Source organism: Homo sapiens, chromosome 2 (genome assembly GCF_000001405.40).
Source record: "Homo sapiens chromosome 2, GRCh38.p14 Primary Assembly".
NCBI classification, from domain to species: Eukaryota; Metazoa; Chordata; class Mammalia; order Primates; family Hominidae; genus Homo; species Homo sapiens.
The window spans coordinates 10,147,563-10,168,402 of NC_000002.12; the positions used below are offsets into that span (position 1 = coordinate 10,147,563).

Here is a 20,840-nt window from a genome sequence, read left to right on the forward strand (position 1 = left end):
TAGAGATAAGTTTCTCAAACTCCTGGGCTTAAGCCATCCACCCACCTTGGCCTTCCAAAATGTTGAGACTACAGGTGTGAGCCTTTGCATTCGCCTTGAATTCCTTTTTCAATAGTATGTTTCCTACTAAAAACACTTATGAAAAGTGTGTATTTTCTCTTACCCCTTCTCCTTTTTTGCCATCTAATTTTAGATTATATTTCTTAGTGTTTGTCTTTAAAATGTACTTATACCTCTATGCTATCTTTTTCTTATTTTTGCCCCCTCCCCCATAAGAAAGATAAAGAAATCAGAGACTTAGACCAGGTGTGGTGGTTCCCGCCTGTAATCCCAGCACTTTGGGAGGCTGAGGCGGGTGGATCACTCGAGGTCAGGAGTTTGAGACCAGCCTGGCCAACATGGTGAAACCCTGTCTCTAGTAAAAATACAAAGTTAGCCAGGCGTAGTGGCAGGCGCCTGTAATCCCAGCTACTCCAGAGGCTGAGGCAGGAGAATTGCTTGAACCTGGGAAGTGGAGGTTGCCATGAGCCAGGATCATGCCACTGCACTCCAGCCTGGGCAACAGAGTGAGACCCTGACTCAAAAAAAAAAAAAAAAAAAAAAAAAAAAAAGAAATCAGATACTAACAACTCTCTCCTTCTTTCTTTTCTTCCCAATTTTTGTTTAATGTATCATTTCTAAATTCATGGTTTATATTTATATATGTCCTTAATCCTCACTCACATTGCCCTACAGGTAGATTCATTGCTCACTGTCAGTTCTCTTGCTGAAGTTTTCCTATTTTTCTCTTGATTTGCTGAAATTCCTTCTCCAGTAGTTTAATCAAAAGGGACTAAATGAAAAAAAAATATTCAGTTATTGCAAGTTCAAAAAGGTTTCTAGTCTTTGTGTTTGATTGACAGCTTTCCAGAATATAAAATTCTTAGGCCACACTTTCTTTCCTTGAGAACTTCACAGATGTCACTTCTGTCTCTAGAGTTAAATGCCACTGTGGGAAAGTCTGAGTCTAACTTCTATTTTGTTACCCTTTATGAATTGATGTTTTCACTTGACTGTCCAAAGTCTTTTTTATTTAGCTGTTTCCCCCTTTCTTTTATATTTTTAGTCTAGTTACTTTCATAGAAATTACCTTGTTATTGACAGATTTTTGTCATTTTCCCCAAGACATGGTGTGCCCTTTCAGTTTGTAGATTTATCTTCTTTTACTTCAAGAAAATTTTCTTGAATGATATCTTTAAATATTTATGTTCCCCTATTTGAGTTTTCTATTCTGGGATATATGATGGGTCCTTTGTAGATCTTCCAAATCTGTAATTTTCTCTGTAATCTCTTTACACCGTTCATTTTCATTTCCTTTTGCTCACTTTCCTCAGTCTTGTTCTCAGTGTCTTGATTGTGTCTTGAGCAATATTTGATGCTCCTCTGCGCACCTTTCCATTTCATCATGACTTTGAAGATACGATGTTTTTCCTTCTTTCTCCAGCTCTGTCAGCTCCAGTTTCATGTTCCCCCTGAGCTCTCATATCTGTTTTGTGTGCTTGCTTTCTGGAGAGGATTGCTGTATTCATTTTTTTTTTTTTTTTCGAGATGGAGTCTTACTCTGTTGCTCAGGCTGGAGTGCAGTGGTGGGATCTCAGCTTGCTGCAACCTCTGCCTCCTGGGATCAAGCGATTCTCCTACCTCAGCCTCCCAGGTAGCTGGGATTACAGGCTTGCGCCACCATGCCCGGCTAATTTTGGTATTTTTAGTAGAGATGGTGTTTTGCCGTGTTGGCTAGGCTGGTCTCGAACTCCTGGCCTCAGGTGATCTGCCCGCCTCAGCCTCCCAAAGTGCTGGGATTGCAGGTGTGAGTCACTGCGCCCAGCCCTGCTTTATTAATTTTTGTTGTTGTTTAATTTTCAGCGAAAAGTTTGCTGGCAATTTTCATCTGTTCTATGACAACATTTTTACTAGTGAGTTTTCACTTGCCACTTGTTTTTCCTGTTCCTTTTCTCGTTTTTATTTTTTAATTCTTGCAGTGTCTTCCTGTAGATGCTGCGCTGTTTGCTTTTTTATTTCTCATCTTTGGGCAAGGTAAGTTTTTCTTCAACCATCTATTTGCCAGAGGTTTGTGTGGGAGAAGAAGCGAGGACTACACCCAGTGCCATGTGCAGTTGTAGGGCTGCTCATGTGCAGTCTGGTGATTCCTCTTTTTGCCTGCAAGTGTGGCTTGTCTGTGTGATTGTCTGTGTCTGATCTGCTGCTTCTGCTTCTTGGTTCCAAGCTTACCTGTATCTCACATGCCACTGTCATGAGATCACAGGCCCCACTCCTGCTCATGCAGATAAGGGACGTTGGTTGGTGGGCAGTGTGATCCCTTCTCACTGCTTCTTCCCAAACATCTGTGTGGTATTTCCTGCCTGGGCAACCCTCTGACTCGTTTCTAGTTTGGGTTTCATCTCTCATCTGTTTCCATTGGAAATGGAGTGTAGCTGGGCGCAGTGGCTCATGCCTGTAATCCCAGCACTTTTGGAGGACGAGGCGGGTGGATTGCTTGAGCCCAGGAGTTCGAGAGCAGTCTGGCCAAGAAGGTGAAACCCCATCTCTACTAAAAACACAAAATTAGCCGGGCGTGGTGGTGCAAGCCTGTAATCCCAGCACTTTGGGAGGTCGAGGCGGGTGGATCACGAGGTCAGGAGATCGAGACCATCCTGGCTAACACGGTGAAACCCCATCTCTACTAAAAATACAAAAAATTAGTCAGGCACGGTGGCAGGTGCTTATAATCCCAGCTACTGGGGAGGCTGAGGCAGGAGAATCGCTTGAATCTGGGAGGTGGAAGTTGCAGTGAGCCGAGATCACGCCACTGCACTCCAACCTGGCGACAGAGCGAGACTCTGCCTCAAAAAAAAAAAAAAAAAGATGGCGTTTGCATCCTGTTTCTCTTTCTCCTTGTTACTATGGGATGATTTTTTTTTTTCGACTTTATTGGTGTATAATTGACATACAATAAACTGCGCCTATTGAATGTGTTATTAGTAAGTTCTGACATATGTATACACCCATGCAGCTGTCACAACCATCAGCCACTAGACATCCTGTCACCCTCCACAGCTTCCTCATGCTGTTTCTTACCTCCACTCCCATTTTCAGACAAACTGACTGCTTTCCGTCGCCAGAGTTTACATTTTCTAGAATTTCATGTAAATAGAATCCTACAGTGTGTTGTGTTTTTTTTTTTTTTTTTTTGATGTGGTTTCTCTCACTTAGCATAGTTTTTTTTTCTTTTGAGAAAGAGTTTTGCTCTTGTTGCCTAGGCTAGAGTGCAATGGCGCGATCTCGGCTCACTGCAACCTCCACCTCCTGGGTTCAAGCGATTCTCCTGCCTCAGCCTCCCAAGTAGCTGGGATTACAGGTGCCTGCTACCACGCCCGACTAATTTTTTGTATTTTTAGTAGAGATGGGGTTTCACCATGTTGGCCAGGCTGGTCTCAAACCCCTGACCTCAGGTGATCCACCCGCCTTGGCCTACCATTGCTGGAATTACAGGCATGCGCCACCACGCCTGGCCTAGCATAGTTATTTTGAAGTCCATCAGTTGTATATAACAATGGTTCATTCCTTCTTATTGCTGTGTTGCATTTCATTGTATGGCTATGCCATATTTATTCATCCATTCACCTGGTGATGGACATTGGGGCTGTTTCCAGCTTTTGGCTATGATGAATCAAGTTGCTGCCAGTCTGCATGTAGATTTTTTTTTTTTTTTTTTTGTAGACAGAGTCTTGCTCTGTTGCCCAGACTGGAGTGCAGTGGTGCGATCTTGGCTCACTACAGCCTCTGCCTCCTTGGTTCAAGCGATTCTCCTGCTTCAGCCTCCCAAGTAGCTGGGACTACAGGTGCCCACCAACAGCCCAGCTAATTTTTTTTGTATTTGTAGTAGAGATGGGGTTTCACTATGTTGGCCAGGCTGGTCTTGAACTCCTGACCTCGTGATCTGCTTGCCTTGGCCTCCGAAAGTGCTGGGATCACAGGCGTGAGCCACCACACCTGGCCACATTGCTGTTGAGGAGGTGCATAGGAGCAGAATGACTGGGTCATATAGTAGGTTTCACTTTTTAAGAAGTGACCCAACTGCTCTTCAAAGTGACCATACCGCTTTACATGCCTCTGAGCACATAAGAGCAACACAAGAGTCCCAGTTGCTTCATACCCTTGCCAACACTTGGCATGGCCAATCTTTTACATTTTAGCCCTCCGAGTGGGTGTCTAGTGTATATCCTTGTGGTTTTCATGTACATTTCACCAATAACAACTGGCATGAGCCTTTTTAAATGTACTTATTTTTTATATGTACACCATCTTTGGTGAATTGTTCAAATCCTTTGCCCATTTATTTTTTATTTTTTATTTTATTTTTTTTTTGAGGCAGTGTCTTGCTCTGTCACTCAGGTTGGAGTACTGTGGCCCCATCTCGGCTCACTGCAAGCTCCGCCTCCCAGGTTCATGCTATTCTCCTGCCTCAGCCTCCCGAGTAGCTGGGACTACAGGCGCCCGCCACCACGCCCAGCTAATTTTTTGTATTTTTAGTAGAGACAAGCTTTCACCATGTTAGCCAGGATGGTCTCGATCTCCTGACCTCGTGATCCGCCTGCCTCGGCCTCCTAAAGTGCTGGGATTGCAGGTGTGAGCCACCATGCCCGGCCCCTTTGCCCATTTAAAAATATCGAGTTGTGTTATATATTAGGTTTAACAGCTCTTTATTCTAGTTACACGTCTTTTATCAGATATATGACTTGTAAATATTTTCTGTAGTCTGTGCCCTTCTTTTTCATTTTATTCAGTGTCTTTTGAAAAAGTAAAAGACTTAATTTTGGTGAAGTCCAATTTACTGTTGCTTTTTTTTCTTTTATAGTTTATGTTTTCTGTGTACTATTTTTTTTTTTTTTTAATTTTTTATTTTTTGAGTCTCGCTGTATCACCCAGGCCAGAGTGCAGTGGTGTGATCTTGGCTCATTGCAGCTTTGGCCTCCTGGGCTCAAGCAGTTCTCCCACCTCAGCCTCCCAAGTAGCTGGGATTACAGGCGCCCGCAAGCATGTGTGGTTAATTTTTGCATTTTTAGTAGATATGCAGTTTCACCATGTTGGCCAGGCTGGTCTCGAACTCTTCACCTCAGGTGATTTGCCTGCCTCGGCCTCCCAAAGTGCTGGGATTATAGGCAAGAGCCACCACACCTGGCCCCTGTGTACTATTCTTAAGAAATCTTTCCCTGTGGTGAAAAGGGAACTCTTGGACATGGTTGGTGGGGGTGTCGATTGGTACAGCCATTATGGAAAGCAGTATGGAGGTTTCTAAATAAATAAAAAATAGAACTACCATATGACTGACCAAAGGAAATTATATCACCACCTTGTAAAGATAGCTGCACTCCTGTGTTAATTGCAGCATTATTCACATTAGCCACGATATGGAAACAACCTAGGTGTTGATGAATGAAGGGATCAAAGGGCCGGGTGTGGTGGCTCATGCCTGTAATCCCAGCACTTTGGGAGGCCAAAGTAGGTGAATCACTTGAGGTCAGGAGTTTGAGACCAGCCTAGCCAACATTGTGAAATCCTGTCTCTACCAAAAATACAAAAATCAGCTGAGTGTGTGCTGGCGCGCACCTGTAGTCCCAGCTACTCGGGAGGCTGAGGAAGGAGAATCACTTGAATCTAGGAGGCGGAGGTTGCAGTGAGCCAAGATCATGCCACTGCACTCCAGCCTGGGTGACAGAGTGAGGCCCTGTCTCCAAAAAAAGATCTTTTTTGACTCTGCGATACAAAGATGTTTTCTTCTAGGTACTTCATAGTTTTTACATTTAGGTCTCTGCTGCCTTGTTAGTTAATTTTTGTGTATGGTATGAGGTTGGAGATTGGGGTTTATTTTTCTGTTCTCTTTGAGCCGGTTTCTGGGAGGAGAGAGAGGACCCACCAGCTCCTCTGCTGTGTCAAGCTATTATACAAGGCCCCATATAGGCCGAGGTTTCTGTTTTTTTCTTCTCTAGGAAAAAAAGAGGAAAAGCCATCAGCAATACCAAGGGAAACAGTAAGCTAAGATTGGCATAGTTCTCAGCAAGCCTCACAGCGATTCTCTGCTCCCTCCCTCACCCCTTGCCTACCTTTAATCCAAAAATGATTTTACCAGAATGTCCAACAAATAAGACAAGACCCAAAAGCACTGAGAACTTTTTCTTGCTGCCAAGTATAAAACACAGACCAGTATAGTGGCTTAAAAAAGCAAATTCCCAGGAAAATTTATAGAGATGGAAAATAGGACAGTAGAATAGCAGGGACTGGGGAGGGGAGAAGGGAGAGGTGCTGTTGAACAGGTAGAGTTTCTGTTTGGGCTGATGGAAAAGTTCTGGAAAAGAAATTGTTGATGGTTGCACAAGATTGTGAATATTCATAATACCATTGAATGGCACAGTTAAAAATGATTAAAATGGTACATTGGGTTACCTATGTTTTACCACAATTAAAGAGTATTTTTAAAAAAGCATATTCCCTCTGGGGTTAGTTAGCTGTAGTCAACACCTAAGTTCCCCAGTGATGAACTGAAGTATGGACCATCAGCATAAATGTGAATTAAAATTAAATATTGCCAGGCAGGCTGGGCGTGGTGGCTCACGCCTGTAATCCCAGCACTTTGGGAGGCCTAGGCGGGCAGATCGCTTGAGGTCAGGGGTTCTAGACCAGCCTGGCCAACATAGCGAGACCTCGCCTCTACTAAAATAAATACAAAAATTAGCTGGGTGTGGTGGCACACACCTGTAGTCCCAGCTACTTGGGAGGCTGAGGCAGGAGAATTGCTTGAACCTGGTGGGTGGTTGGGTGGGGGGTGGGCGCACAGAGGTTGCAGTGAGTCAAGATGGCATCATTGCACTCCAGCCTGGGTGACAGAGCGAGACTCCATCTCAAAAAAAAAAAAAAAAAATTATCAGGCAGTATGAGGTTGCATGGTCAATATCCTAACAGTCACAAAGCAAGCAAGTGATCTTGAGGGGGAAAGGGAGGAGGTGGGAAGAAAGGAGGAGGACCAAGTTCCGCTGAGTGGCTAATAAATATTATTTTGGTTAAGTCCCTGTCTCCACAGAGTAAGTCCTGATTCTTTTTTTTTTTTTTTTTTTTTGAGACTGTGTTTCACTCTTGTTGCCCAGGCTGGAGTGCAGTGGCGCGATCTCGGCTCACTGCAACCTCTGCCTCCCGGGTTCAAGTGATTCTCCTGCCTCAGCCTTCCCAAGTAGCTGGGATTACAGGCATGCGCCACCATGCCTGGCTAATTTTGTATTTTTAGTAGAGACGTGGTTTCTCCATGTTGGCCAGGCTGGTCTTGAACTCCCGACCTCAGGTGATCCGCCTGCCTCGGCCTCCCAAAGTGCTGGGATTACAGGCATGAGCCACTGTGCCCGGGCTGTAAGTTCCTGATTCTTAAGCCTAACATAGTTAAATTGCTCTGTAAAAAAAAAAACAGTGGCTTTATATTCAAGACCATGTTGCTTCCAACTGAATTGGCCACTGACACTGGGATACTGAGCAGTGAACAGACCACAAGGAAGACATCACTCTCGGATCCTGTTTGAAACCAACAGCTACAGCAAAACACTAGTCTTGATTCAGGGCCTAATGGGGTTTCTTTAATTAGCAAGTTTACATTCATGGAGTCTTGTGAAAATGGTTAGATAAATTGCAGAGAAATAAATAAGTATTTTGTACATCTGAGTATTATTGTTAATTTCCACCTGGCTACATGAGGCTCCCTCCTCTGGGTTTTCTCTCTATGCCCTTTTGCTGTGGACAGAAGGTACCTTGCTCATTCATCCATCCAGCCGGTGAGCCAGGGGGCAGCCCGGAGGGAGGAGTGGAGGGGATGTGGGCCTGGAATTAGACTGAGCTTGGTGTGTCCCCAGCTCAGGCCGCACTGCCAGGCCCTGGTTTCGTTACTATGAAATGAGGGGTGGGGTGGGTATCTGGTCTCCCACTCCCCATTACTGAGGGGTTCCCGGGCTCTCCTCCACCCTCTGATTCCTCCCCCTCTTCTGTTCCAGTCCAGAATGCCTCCTTTCTGCCTAAACGCCTCTGATCTTCATTTGATCATCAGCAGCTGCAGACCCATGAGCCACTGGGCCTGACCTGGGAGACACTGGCCCTCCACTTCCAGTGCTCTCCAGCTGGATTTCCTCCAGAACAGTGGCAAAGAGTTCGCCCAGAGCTGCGTCCCCTCCCTGGGAAGCAGCGCTGAGTCAGGGTTACCTGGCTCCACTGTGCCCCTAGCGAGGTGAAAGTTCGCACAATGACATGGGCTCTCTGTTGAGGATAAGGAGGCTACAGCCCAAGGAGCTTGTGCACCGCAGGCAGAGCCACTCAGGTCATCTTCCAGAGCGGGATGTCTGACTCCAGAGCCCGCCAGCCCACACTGCTCTCCTGAGGACTGGGTTTCTCTGGCCTGAGTCTGCCTGAGTCTACAGGAAGAACCCTGCTGGCACCCCAGTAAGCCCCTCTAGACCTTGGAGCTCTAACTGCTCTCAGAGCTCACTTTTCAGTTAGCCTGTAAGGCAGGGGTGTCCAATCTTTTGGCTTCCCTTGGCCACATTGGAAGGAGAATTGGCTTGTGTCACACATAAAATACACTAACACTAACGATAGCTGATGAGCTAAAAACAATTAAAAATCACAAACTCATAATGTTTTAAGAAAGTTTATAAATTTGTGTTGGGCCACATTCAAAGCCGTTCTGGGCTACGGGTTGGACAAGCTTGCTATAATGGATCAGAGATATGTACAGTCTTAAAGAAGAAACAGCTCCCAGGCCTGTAAGACCTATCAGGGCACTCACTGAATGCTGTGAGCAGGGGAAGGGGCAGTCCTGGGCAGTGGGGTCCTCTCTGGGGGTCCAGCTGTGTCTCCAGTCGTCTGGGGAGCTGGGAACAGCACACCAGGGTTCTTGCCTCCTGGGAAAGTTCTCACAGAAAGAGAGAACAGAGGTGCAAAAGCTAGGCCATGTTCATTATTCTTTCATTCCCTACTTATTGAGCTTTGACAATGTGTGAGGGACTGCTTGATTGATTGACTGATTGATTGGGACAGGGTCTCTGTCACCTAGGCTGGAGTGCAGTGGTGCAACCTCAGCTCCCTGTAACTTCCGCCTCCTGGGCTCAAGCCATCCTCCTACCTCAGCCTCCTGAGTAGCTGGGATTACAGGCCCACGCCACCACACCCGGCTACTTTTTGTATTTTTTGGTAGAGACAGGGTTTCGCTATGCTGCCAGGCTGGTCTTGAACAACCAGGCTCGAGTGATCCTTCTGCCTCCCCTTGGGCTCCCAAAGTGATGGGATTATAGGCTTCAGCCACAGTGCCCAGCCAGAGGAACGTTTCAGATGCTGGAATCAATGGTAGTGTGTTGGAGGAAGGGAGTTTCTGAGCTCAGCCCATTTCTTTTTTTTTTTTTTTTTTTTTTTGAGATGGAGTCTCGCTCTGTCGCCCAGGCCGGACTGCGGACTGCAGTGGCGCAATCTCGGCTCACTGCAAGCTCCGCTTCCCAGGTTCACGCCATTCTCCTGCCTCGGCCTCCCGAGTAGCTGGGACTACAGGCGCCCGCCACCGCGCCCGGCTAATTTTTTGTATTTTTAGTAGAGACGGGGTTTCACCATGTTGGCCAGACTGGTCTTGAACTCCTGACCTCAGGTGATCTGCCTGCCTCTGCTTCTCAAAGTGCTGGGATTACAGGAGTCAGCCACTGCAACTGGCCCTAATAGACATTTTTTTAAACTAAATTATTACACTACAGAAAAATGCACACATCATAAGAGCACAGCTCGATGCCTTTTCTCAAAGTGTATGCACTTGTGAAGTCAGCCTCCAGATGGAGAAAGAGAACATCATTAGCACCCAGGAAACCCCTCTTGGCTCCTCCCAGTCCTGACCACACTAAGGCGCCTCCATCTCCACTTCCATCCCCAGAGATGGCCGCTGCTCGGTGTGGTACTTTATGCAGACAGGATCAAGGATGGTACACTTTTTGGTGCCCTTTTTTGGCTTGACTCAACATTATGCTTGTGAGACTGTGTTGCAGGTAGCTGTAATCTTTTTTGTTGCTGTAGAGAGTATTCCATTGTTTGACTATACTACAGTTTGTTCATTCTACCCCTGATTGGCATTTGTGCATTTCATTTTTAAAATTATGAATAACTCTATTAGAGGCAACTAATGGCTCAGTTTTGCTCCTTGCTCTGCAAACCAACCCTGCCCATAGGAACTGAACTTGTAAAGGGGCAGGTGACGTATTTTAGTGAGAACCTTCCATGGCGTAACCTAGTAGAATGCCTAATGTTGGAACCTCGGGCATCACAGCTGGCCTATTTATTTTAAATAAATGAGTTCATGAATAAATGAAGGAATAAAGGAATGAATGAGAGGAGGGGTAAGTGACTAAATGAATGCATTTCTGGGAAGAGCATTATTGGGTACTCACCTGTGTCAAACACCTCTGGTCATCTTCATAAATGCTGCCATATGTAATCCTTGCCACAACCCTTTGAGATGGGATGGCTACCTTGATTTTACGGATGAAAAAAATAACAAGGCTCAGAGAATCCAGGTCATTTAACTCTTCTGAGCTCTCCATTTTCCCATGTACGAAATGGGTGTCAGTAGAGCTCCGCAGATTGTTGAGTGGGTGAGGGGGTGATACAAAGCGGTCAGCAGTTCTGGCACAGGAAAGCGCTCGCGAACTTCCTGCGCATCATTATTCTGGCTTGTGCTCATGTAGCCTGTAAGTGGCCTGGCCAGGATTTGAACCTACAGCCTTCCATCATCCCCCTGCACAACTCCTGCCACCCCATGCTGCCTGCCTCTGGGAGATTAGGTGAGCAAAGGGGTCTTGGCCATGTCTTTCCATCTGAGGCACTCAGTACAGAGGGTGAGGGGTCCCTGAGCCACCTCTGCTGCCTGCCCTAACTCCGGGCTGTGATGAAGCAGCTCTGTTGGATGAAGCAGCCCTGGCTCCGATGCTCTTCCTCCCCTCACCTTCCTTACCCAAAGGATGAGGTTGGAATACAATTGCAGTGTCTGTGCTCACTAATTTCATTTTCTGTGTCTGGAGTAATAGGGGCCCTCAAACTTATTATGCTTATTTGAATTTCAATAATAAGCAGCCAAGCGGGAGACTGGCATGGGGGCCGGGGCCGTGCTCTGAGGAAGGCCTGGCTGCCCCAGCTGGGGAACAGCTGGGTGCTTCCGAGGAGTGGCCTTCTCTCCCGGGAGCTCGGGGTTGGTCAGCTGGTCAGCTATGACCAGGCAGAAGCTGACACTGACCTGACCCAACCTGGGCAGGCCTAGGAGAGCTCGTCCCCAGACCTTCACCTTGGAGAACCAAGTAGTAGTGAGAACAGTGCCGCGGGGCTGGCCCAGATCATCGGTCCTTTGGACGTCTTCTTCCATAAATGAGTCATTTATATCACACTCTCTTGTCAAGAGGTGGAAGTCAGTTTCCAATGGGGACCAAATTGGCCCTAATTTTTGTTCACCTCTGGTACTGAGAGGTAAGGTGGGGGTGGGTGACATTTTCAAAGGGGCTGTATCCCTAAATGAGATAAGACCACTCCCTTGTGGGTGGAGACACCCTTAGCCCAAAGGCTTGAGTAGTTGAAGAGCTGTAAACAGTGGCTACCAGGTGCCCCAGGTACCCAGACGATGAGCAAAGCCCCAGAGGGATCCGAGGAGGTGACACCAGCATTTTCCCCTGACTGGTTCTCGCCCTCAGCCTGGGAATGTCGCTGAGTCTTTGGTTCTTCCAGAGACCTGTCTTTTGGCTGCCAGCCTTTGCATAGTGTCCACTCCTGTATCTAATTCTCAGGAGACTGAGGTCTGGCCTAGGCGGGTCTCTCCTCCGACTCAGTTCCATGCACTGAATTTGACCCCTGGGCCCAGATCAGACACAGGGTCTTTCCACGAGGCCCTCACAGAAGGTGGAGCTCTGAGCGGTGTTTTTCAAACAGGATTTTAATGGTGCAGCAAGAAAAGAAAGACTCCAGGATGACTGAGGTTTAGGCGTCACTGGGTTGAAACGGTTAAAGAGGCTTCCTTCCTGCAGGGCTGCTCAGAGCCTTTATTGGCCGCTGTATTGTGTGTTCACACACACAGAGATGGAGACTGGAGCTTTTCCCCAACACTCAGATCTTTGTTTCCCAGAAGCCTCTCCAGGGAGAAGAGCCCAGCGTTTCAGAAACGCTGGCTTGAAGGAGCCCTGGGAGCCTGCCCCCCAGTTTCTCTGTAGCCTCACGATTGTGCTTTCTGCTGGTGAGGGAGGTGGCTGGAGGTGGGAAGCGCCCAGGAGGCCCGGCTCTCCTTGAGGACACAGCTCTGCTCTTACCCTTTGTGCTTAGTGCATCCCCAGGGCCCTCGGGGGAAAGTCCAGCCCCCTCTCCCTGCCCCTCCAGGCCCTCTGTGATGAGTTTCTTCCCTGCTCTTGTGTGATTTCCTGTGTGCGCCTACATCCCAGGCAAACCAGGGGGTTCCTGCTCTTATGGGCTGCCGTCTTCTGCTCATGCTGGGCTCAGCCTAGATACCCTCCCCTACGCCTTGCACATAGTTCGGGTTTCACCTGAGCTGCACCCCTTTCCAGGAAGCCTTCCTGATTGTCCTGTGCTAGCTTTTCATTTCACTGCTCCCCAGCATTTTGTATCAAATCCAAATGCCTTCTGAGCTGACAGCATCTCACTCCCTGACAAGATGTGGGCCCCTGGGGAGCGGTGCCAAAGTCTGGTTAATCCCAGGGTCCCTGCTGCCTGCACGGAGTGGTGCTGAGTGGAGACTCCAGGAAACCCAAGAGCTTCACCTCGGGCTTGCCCATCGGGCCCTGCAGCTTTGAGCAAATCGACCGAAGGTGCCTACTGTGTGGAACCCAGCAAGGGGAGCCATGCAGACCAGGGAGAGGAGGCTGGCATGGGCAGGGGCTCCTCCCTAGAGGCTGCTTGGATTTAAGGCGGTTCCCTCATGCCCAGCTCCTCTCCTTCCTTCCCATATTCACCATAGAGGTTTGGGTCCCCTCTCCCCTCTGCCTCTGCCCCAGGACCACCCGTGCAGACCACCCCCGCCTGCCAGACCAGTCTCAGGGCATCTGATGGCTTCCCTGCCTGCTCCGCCCACATCTCAGGCCAAACCCCTGGACGTCAGGACACTGCACCATGCAGCCCACTGTATTTTCAGTCTTTCCTGGAGCCCTGCCCCCGCCAGGTGAGCTGGCTGCTTTCTTGGGAAGCCAGGACCTTCCTGGCCACCTCTGTCTGCCCTGTTGCCTGCGCCCCTGCAGTGCTCCCACCAGGCTTTCTGAAGCTGGCCTGGCCCTGAGACCCCCAGCCCTGCCTCTCTGTGGAATTGTTTCCTAGCTGGTCGCTCCGTCCTTCCGAGCCTCCCTCTTTGGGGCTGCAGAAAGCGTGGTCTGAGCTACACAGCACTGAGCTCCACCCTGTCCCAGGCTGGTAGTTCTTTTTTTGTTTTGTTTTTTGACACAGGGTCTCGCTCTGTGGCCCAGGCTGGAGTGTGCGTGATCTCAGCTCACTGCAACCTCCCAGACTCAAGCAATCCTCCCACCTCAGCCTCCCAAGTAGCTGGGACCACAGACATGCACCACCATGCCTGACTAAATGTTTGCATTTTTGGTAGAGACAGGGTTTCCTCGTGTTGCCCAGGCTGGTCTTGAACTCCTGAGCTCAAGTGATCCACTTGTCTCGACCTCTCAAAGTGCTGCAATTACAGGCATGAGCCACTGCGCCTGGCCTGGCGGTTCTTTATTAGCACAGGTCCAAGACTTTGACTTCCTTATTGCAGGGCAGATATGGATGTGTGTGTCATGACCTCCACCACCCGCGTGCACGAGGGGCACAGCCTCTTGCAGGTGTGTCACGTGGCAACCTGGACCAGGGATCTCCCCAGCCCAGTGAGGGGCCAGCCTCATCTCCATTCTACAGATGAGAAAAATACATACACTATTTAAAAACACTTCTATCCAACACAGCCACACACACACATTCATATGCATACTCACACATGCTCACTCATGCACTCACACATACACTCACACTCATGCACACACACACATTCACACACACACACACACATTCACATGCATGCTTTAACTCGAGGGAAATGAACTCACAGGACTCTAATTTCCTGATGCCATAGGAAGAACAACGGGCATTCCTGTCATGTTTTTCATGGGAAGCTGATTCAGAGAGGCTAAGGGGCATCCCTAACGTCACACAGCTAAGAGGCAAGGCTGAGGTTTGCACTTCCACTGCTCTGACTTGGAAGCCCAGTGAGGCGCTCAAATTAAAATTAGAAACCTTTTCCTGTTGTCCAGGCAGAAAACCGGGAGAGGGGAGAGAACAGCCACTAGGGCGAGGACAGAGCGCAGCCACTGGGCAGCCGGGAAACCGAGGCTTGCGCCTGGCTGCAGACTTCCCTCTTCAGGCCCTTCTGGCACCATCTGCTCCAGAACCCACAGCTCCCATCCGCCGCTGCCTGGGATGAATGGTGCCCTGTCAACAGTGATACACCTGCTGTTTAGTGGGAAGAGAGGTGCCAAGAGTGCACGGGATGCCCGGGTGCACAGAGGGGAGGAGACAGGGCACAGCCGAGCTGCCAGGCCAGGCACAACTTCTTGATGAATAGAGAGGTGTGGAGCCGCCCGTCGTTCATGTCGATTCTCTCAGTCAATCAAAACGCTGCCACAGCAGGCTTTGGGATGCGGCGTCTCGATGTGTGTGGGCGTGTGCAGGGCGGTTGCTGATATTAGTCATGAGCGCTGGCCCAGGAATCAGAGACGGGGATGAGTCTCAGCTCTGCCATTTCTTGGCTGTGTGACGTCTGGGCCTTGATTTCTCCATATGGAGATAGAGAACCCCTTCCTTCTCTGTCCCCAGAAAAAGTGCCGGCCACACTCTCCTTGGCCTGTCAACAGCGATGCACCCGCTGTTTAGTGGGAAACCATCTTCCTTCATGAGGTCAAAGCCCTCACTTTTTTCTGGGAGGGATGACTGTGCACCGTGAGTTAGCCTTAGAGTCAGGCCCAGGAAGACATCAGCCACCTGCACCCCCCCGCCGCCCCCCACCCCCCTGCCGAGGCCTGGGGAGTCACAGCTCTTCCTGATCTTGCTGTGTGGCCTCGGGCAGGGCGTTTGCCCTCTCTGGGCCTCAGGCACTCCATCTTGACAATAAGGCCATTGCACTTGCTATTCACATTGGGCCACCTGTGCCAGCCATCCATGACAGGGGTTCTTTAGGTAGAGACAAATGGCCTGCAGGGGCGGGGACCCCCGGGGCATGGCCGTCCACTGCAGGTCCCAGGAGGAGCCCCAGCCTGGCTGGCTGCTTCCAAGAATAGAGTAGACAGAGTCTGCACGGGGCTGCCAGTGGGCCACTCCTGCACGCAGGGCCCCGGGCCCTGAGCTCATCAGTGAAGCAGGTAATTATGTGTGTGCTTTGTTCCTGCACAAAGGCACTCTCAGAGAACTTCCAAGAGGCTCTGCTTCCTTGCTGATTTGATTTTTTCAGAACTGGAGTGTGAAAGTCAAGCTGAACCTGCTTAATTGTGCCTGCGAAGGCTATTCAGAGAGACTGCTCTTGGAAAGAAATCAGGACAATTAGCTCTTGGCTGCAGGGAGAGGGGGAGCGAGCGCTTGATGGTGAATGTCAGCCTGTTCCTGGGAGAACCAAAGGGCAGAGCTGGGCAGAGTGGGGAAAAGACGGGCGGGGGGGTGGGGGGGCATCTGTAGCTGTCTCTGGGGCTGGGGCCAAGCCCACCACCTGCAGGGGGCACCAAGCTCCACATGTGGGTGTGGGGCAGCCAGGCTGGGAGCAGAGGCCAGGTCCGACAGCAAGCTCAGGGCCACTCCCCTCAGTCCAGTGAGGGTTGGTTGTGTGATCTTGGGCAAGTCACATGGCCCTCTCGGCCTCAGTTTCCCCGGGTCTGCAAAATGAGTGCTGTGCAGAATGAGCAGATGGAGCCCACTCATCCCGGGCAGTGGCGGGTGGGAACTATGGGGTCCACAGCAGATGGTGCCAGAAAGGCCTGAAGAGGGAAGTCTGCAGCCAGGCGCGAGCCTCGGTTCCCCGGCTGCCCAGTGGCCGCGCTCTGTCCCTGCCCTAGTGGCTGTTCTCTCCCCTCTCCTGGTTTTCTGCCTGGACAACAGGAAAAGGTTTCTAATTTTAATTTGAGCACCTCATTGGGCTTCCAAGTCAGAGTAGTGGAAGTGCAAACCTCAGCCTTGCCTCTTGGCTGTGTGACGTTGGGGATGCCCCTTAGCCTCTCTGAATCAGCTTCCCATGAAAAAGATGACAGGAATGCCCGTTGTTCTTCCTATGGCATCAGGAAATTAGAGTCCTGTGAGTTCATTTCCCTCGAGCTAAAGCATGCATGTGAATGTGTGCGTGTGTGTGTGTGTGTGCATGAGTGTGAGTGTGAATATGTGTGTGTGCATGAGTGAACGTGTGTGTGAGTGTGCATATGAGTGTGTGTGTGTGGCTGTGTTGGATAGAAGTGTTTTTAAATAGTGTATGTATTTTTCAACCTTTTTTGAATGGAGCCCAGGGTGTATTTCCCAAATTCTTTTTACATTATTTTAAAGAGAGGCAGCAGAGTGTTATGACAGAGAACCAGCTATGGAGCTGGCCTGAGTCTGCATCTGGGCTCCACCTCACCAGCTGTGTGTGAAACCACTTTGTTCCTGTTTTCTTATTTGTAAGTAGAGATCATATCATCTATCCACATCTCTGCCTAGGTGTGTGGACGGCTTAATACACTTGGAAGCCTCAGAACAAGGACTGGCAGTAAGTGCTCAATACATTTTATCATCATTGTTATTTTTGACGCTGAGGGTCACTGTAACGACCAATGAACCAGCCAGTGAAGTGGGATGAATCCATTCAGGAGCACACAGGGCTCGGGTGCACTCAGTGCTCACGGGCGAAGTGAGCAGGCTGGCATCTGTTTGGATTGGTCTCTGCTTGAACCCTGTTAGTTGTTAAACAGTTTGAATGCCATCCCAGGGTAGAAGAGACAGAAACTTAAGGGCTACTTACAGATGCAGGGACTAGGGGAGGGATGTGGGTGTGGCCAGAGAATCCAACCCTGGGGACCACCCATTTCCTATCTGGGCGGCCAGGGCCCTGCAGGAGGTGCCCCCGTCACTTACAAGCCAGGGCCCCCACTGCCCCTCCCTGGTCCTGCAGTCCATCTGGGATGTGAGGCTACTCAACCAAGCTCAGTTTTTGCAGCCAGGCGCACGGGGGAAGGCTGCCACTGGCTGCCATCACCGACTGCGAGGGGTTCCTCATTCTCAGCTGGCTTTACCCTTTGCTGCTCCTTGAATAAAGTGTTTTGAATTCTGCCGCACAGAGGGGACCCCGCTTTACTCTTTTGGTTTCCTTTTGCCCGAACACAGCTCACTACAGCCTCAACCTCTTGGGCTCAAGCCATCCTCCCACCTTAGCCTCCTGAGTAGCTGGGACCACAGGTGCACATCACCACACCTAGCTGATTTTTTATATTTTGTAGAGACGTGGTTTCACCATGTTGCCCAGGCTGTTCTCAAACTCCTGAGCTCAAGCAATCCGGCTGCCTCGACCTCCCAAAGTGTTGGGATTCCAGGCATGAGCCACTGTGCCCGGCCTCTTTTGGTTACCTTCATCGGAACACTTGCAGGGCCTTTGAGAGACCCCATCAAACACGTTTCCCTTTGGGCACCTACACTGAATCCTCTGGGATGAAATTTCAGCCAGGAGAGGGACTGAAGTAGAGTCACATGTGGGGACCTCCCATTAGTGGGCTCCGTAGCTGACGGTCCCAGGACAGGGGCCCTGTGTGGAAAGAAGGGCAGACCTAAGGGAAGCCAACAGGGGTGAGGACCACGGCGCAGGGGCCACATTTAACCGGCTGGGGACCAACTGTTTCTAAGGCTTCCGCCGCTCAGCTGGGCAAAAGGGAGATAAATATTGTAAAGTTTACGGGAAATAACAGTTTTAAACAAGCTCTGGAAGTGTAATGTGCCCACAGGCATTCATCATCATCACCGCTCTCATCCTCTCCTGGGTGACCAGGGCGATGAATGACCCAAAACACCACACACGAGGAAAGGCAAAGAGATCAGAGACTGGTTCACCCAGAGAGACCGGGATGCTGCCTTCCAAAATGGAAGAGCTGTGCTGGAAAAGCTGCATTTGACTCACTGGAATAAGTGCAGGGGTCCAGGGCCTGCTGATTGCTTCCTGGTCCCTGTGCACATGCCCCGTGGTGACTCCGTACAGTGCTTCACAGATCTTTTGCTGAGGAGCTGGGGATGGGCAGGGAAGGAAGCCTGGACTGGGTGCCTAGAAGCTCTGGGCAGCAGCCGCATCAGAGGCTTTTGAAGGCAGGAAGGGCAGCCAGCGGCCCGGAGGGGAGCACAGCAGCTGCTGGTGACAGCTTGCTGGGTCGTCACAGGGGCTCTGGACGGTCCTTCTGCCCCGAGGTTTGGCTTAGCTTGGTGAGGGCAGCGTGGAGGACACCGTTCCATCTTAATGCCTTTCCAATAAAGCCTTGAAGACGACAGGCCCCATTTCCTGAGCAGAGCTGAACAGTTACTTTACACTTCATCTAATTGATTAAAATGACTCCTCTAAATTAACCAGGCCTTCCAGAGCTGAGTGCGGGAGAGTGAAGTCCAGAGACCAGAGCCGGCTGCAGGGGCAGGCCGGGGGCCCACAGCCCTTCTCCCGGGCCCTGCTGTCCACCAGCCCTGCTCGCACCCCAGGTTCCTGGTGGCCGATGCGCTTAGGTCAGCCGACTGGCTTCTGTGCTCTGCCCCTGAACACCAAGCTGCCCTGAACAGAGCCTGGTCTCTCAGGGTGAGGGTGGGTCAGGGATACCGCGTGTGCTCCCTGCTGTCTGCGTCCGTGTCTGGCAAATTGGTGAGGGGTCAGGCATCCCAGGTCTCCTTTTATCTTCCACACTGCCCCTGGGGGTAGAGAATTATGGTCCCATTTCACAGCTGAAGAAACTGAGGCCCGTCTGCGATGCGTAGCTAGCAGGTGCAGAGGCAGGGATCAAGGCTCAGCCTGTTGCCTGCAAAGCCCTCGCCCTGTTCCCTATGGCGCACCAGCTGCTTGGATGCTCCCACGCAGCAGTGCCTTGTCATCACATTCTATTTGCTGAGCGGCGATGGAACAGGCCCTGCGTCCCCGCCTGTGTCCTAAGCACTCCACAAGCATGAGCGTGTCTAGATGGTGATGGTTTGCTCATGGTCTCTCTCTCAGAGCTTTTACCCTGGCGGGGTTGGGAGCGTGGCAATGGGTCACCACTGACCCTGTTAGGAAACAAGTGTGTCTGTACGTGCCACTTATGATGGGGACAGGCCGTGGTCACTTTGCTGGGGCCAGTGTCAGCAGGATGGCAGATGCTTTGAGAACACGGCTAAGAACTCTGCCTTCTGGAGCAGGATGTCAAATGCTGTTTGATTCAGGCATGTGACACCTGTCAAGAGCCCTGGCACAGCTGCTCTCGAGACACGCCTCGACTGCCACTCTCCCACCCCTGCGTGGCACCCTCCTGACTGTTTTATCTGCCTTGGTTTTTCTGGGTCTGGTGTAGCACCTGCCCCATAAGAAGCGCTCAGTAAATGATTGTTGATAAAAGATTGAACCAATCAAGGAATGATGAGCCAGTGAAGGGCAAATGACTGGAAGCAAAAGGCCCTCTTGATGGAATTGGGAAGAAGCTGATCCGAGGGCCCAGGACAGCCTTCTCTTGAATGCCCTGCTGCTGAGGTCTCACTGCTCGGCTTGGACTCGCCTCTCGCCCTGCCTGGCTGCAGAGGACAAACAGTGGGGTGGTGGGTGTGTGTCCGTGCCTGTGCGTAGGATGTGGTAGCTGGTGAGTGTCAGGGCTCTGCACGCTGCGCCCTGCCTTGCTTCTTTCTCTCCTCTCAGGCTGTGTGTAGTCCTGGGCCAGGTTTTTTCAGCGGGCGTGGTGGTGGGAAGGTCCTCTGTCCCTTGCTCATCCTGTGTCCTGGCTCTTCCTCCTTGTGTCTTCTCTCTGGGCCAGGAGGAAGTGGAGAGGTGGGATCAGGGCCGATGTCCCCAGCCTGGGTGGCAGTGTACTGGACCATGGGTTCCCACCCAGAACTCTTCATGGCAGAGACCTATGGCCTGCCTGTCCTCATCTGAAGATAACTTGGCCGTTCTGATTTCTCTTCCCACACAAGGCCATGGTGGCTGCCTCTGAGATTTAATAAGCCCTTAGGTCAAATGTCTGCTTGGCCAGAGGAATTGTCTCCCGGGCTTTCTTGGAGACAGCTCTAAAGCATGCAAACTATAGTGTCAGGAGGAAAAGCTCTTCCTCTACCTACTTTGTTCTGTGTTTGGGGGTCTGAGAAATTTAACAGTCAACAGATCAACAGTAGAAAAGACAAAGGCTTTTCTGTTTTTTTTTTTTTTTTGCCTTAAGCAAAAATCCTGCTAGGTTGGTTTAGCCAGAGCCCCCTCATTCCTGGTGTTTCCCCTTAGTAGTTTTTCCTCCACTGATCCCCACCCTGCTCCGGCTATTAATTCCTACTTTTCCTTGCTGTATATGTGGCTGAGCCCAACCTCTCTCCCCAACTGCAGAATCGCATCACAGTGGGTCCTATACCTAAGGCGATAGTTCCTTCCCCCCACCCCTGACACCCCCAATAAAATGTGCCTTCTTACCATCATTAACAAGCATCATTGAATAATTTTGATTTAATAGCGGGTTCGAGAGATCTCCTCCATCTTCATCCTGGCAGGGCTTCCCCTCCACCCCAGAAAG

At 50.2% G+C, this 20,840-nt stretch overlaps 1 protein-coding gene and 1 non-coding gene across 2 annotated transcripts in view, besides 2 other annotated features; one reads left to right on the forward strand and one right to left on the reverse strand.

Moving 5' to 3' along the window:
• RRM2 (ribonucleotide reductase regulatory subunit M2) overlaps nucleotides 1-20,840 on the forward strand; it is an 88,443-nt gene that overhangs the window by 24,995 nt on the left and 42,608 nt on the right. The gene's annotated exons all lie outside the window — the stretch shown is intronic.
• On the reverse strand, nucleotides 7,510-7,644 carry LOC124906144 (small nucleolar RNA SNORA2/SNORA34 family). Its single transcript, XR_007088718.1, has one exon. It is a non-coding gene; the product is annotated as a small nucleolar RNA SNORA2/SNORA34 family (small nucleolar RNA).
• Nucleotides 15,367-15,972: an enhancer, noted in NCBI's record as "H3K4me1 hESC enhancer chr2:10303055-10303660 (GRCh37/hg19 assembly coordinates)". NCBI's record gives its function as "activates a minimal SCP1, AML or CMV promoter by ChIP-STARR-seq in primed H9 embryonic stem cells {active_cell/tissue: H9 hESC(primed)}" and the evidence as "EXISTENCE:reporter gene assay evidence [ECO:0000049][PMID:30033119]".
• Nucleotides 15,973-16,577: an enhancer, noted in NCBI's record as "H3K4me1 hESC enhancer chr2:10303661-10304265 (GRCh37/hg19 assembly coordinates)". NCBI's record gives its function as "activates a minimal SCP1, AML or CMV promoter by ChIP-STARR-seq in naive H9 embryonic stem cells {active_cell/tissue: H9 hESC(naive)}" and the evidence as "EXISTENCE:reporter gene assay evidence [ECO:0000049][PMID:30033119]".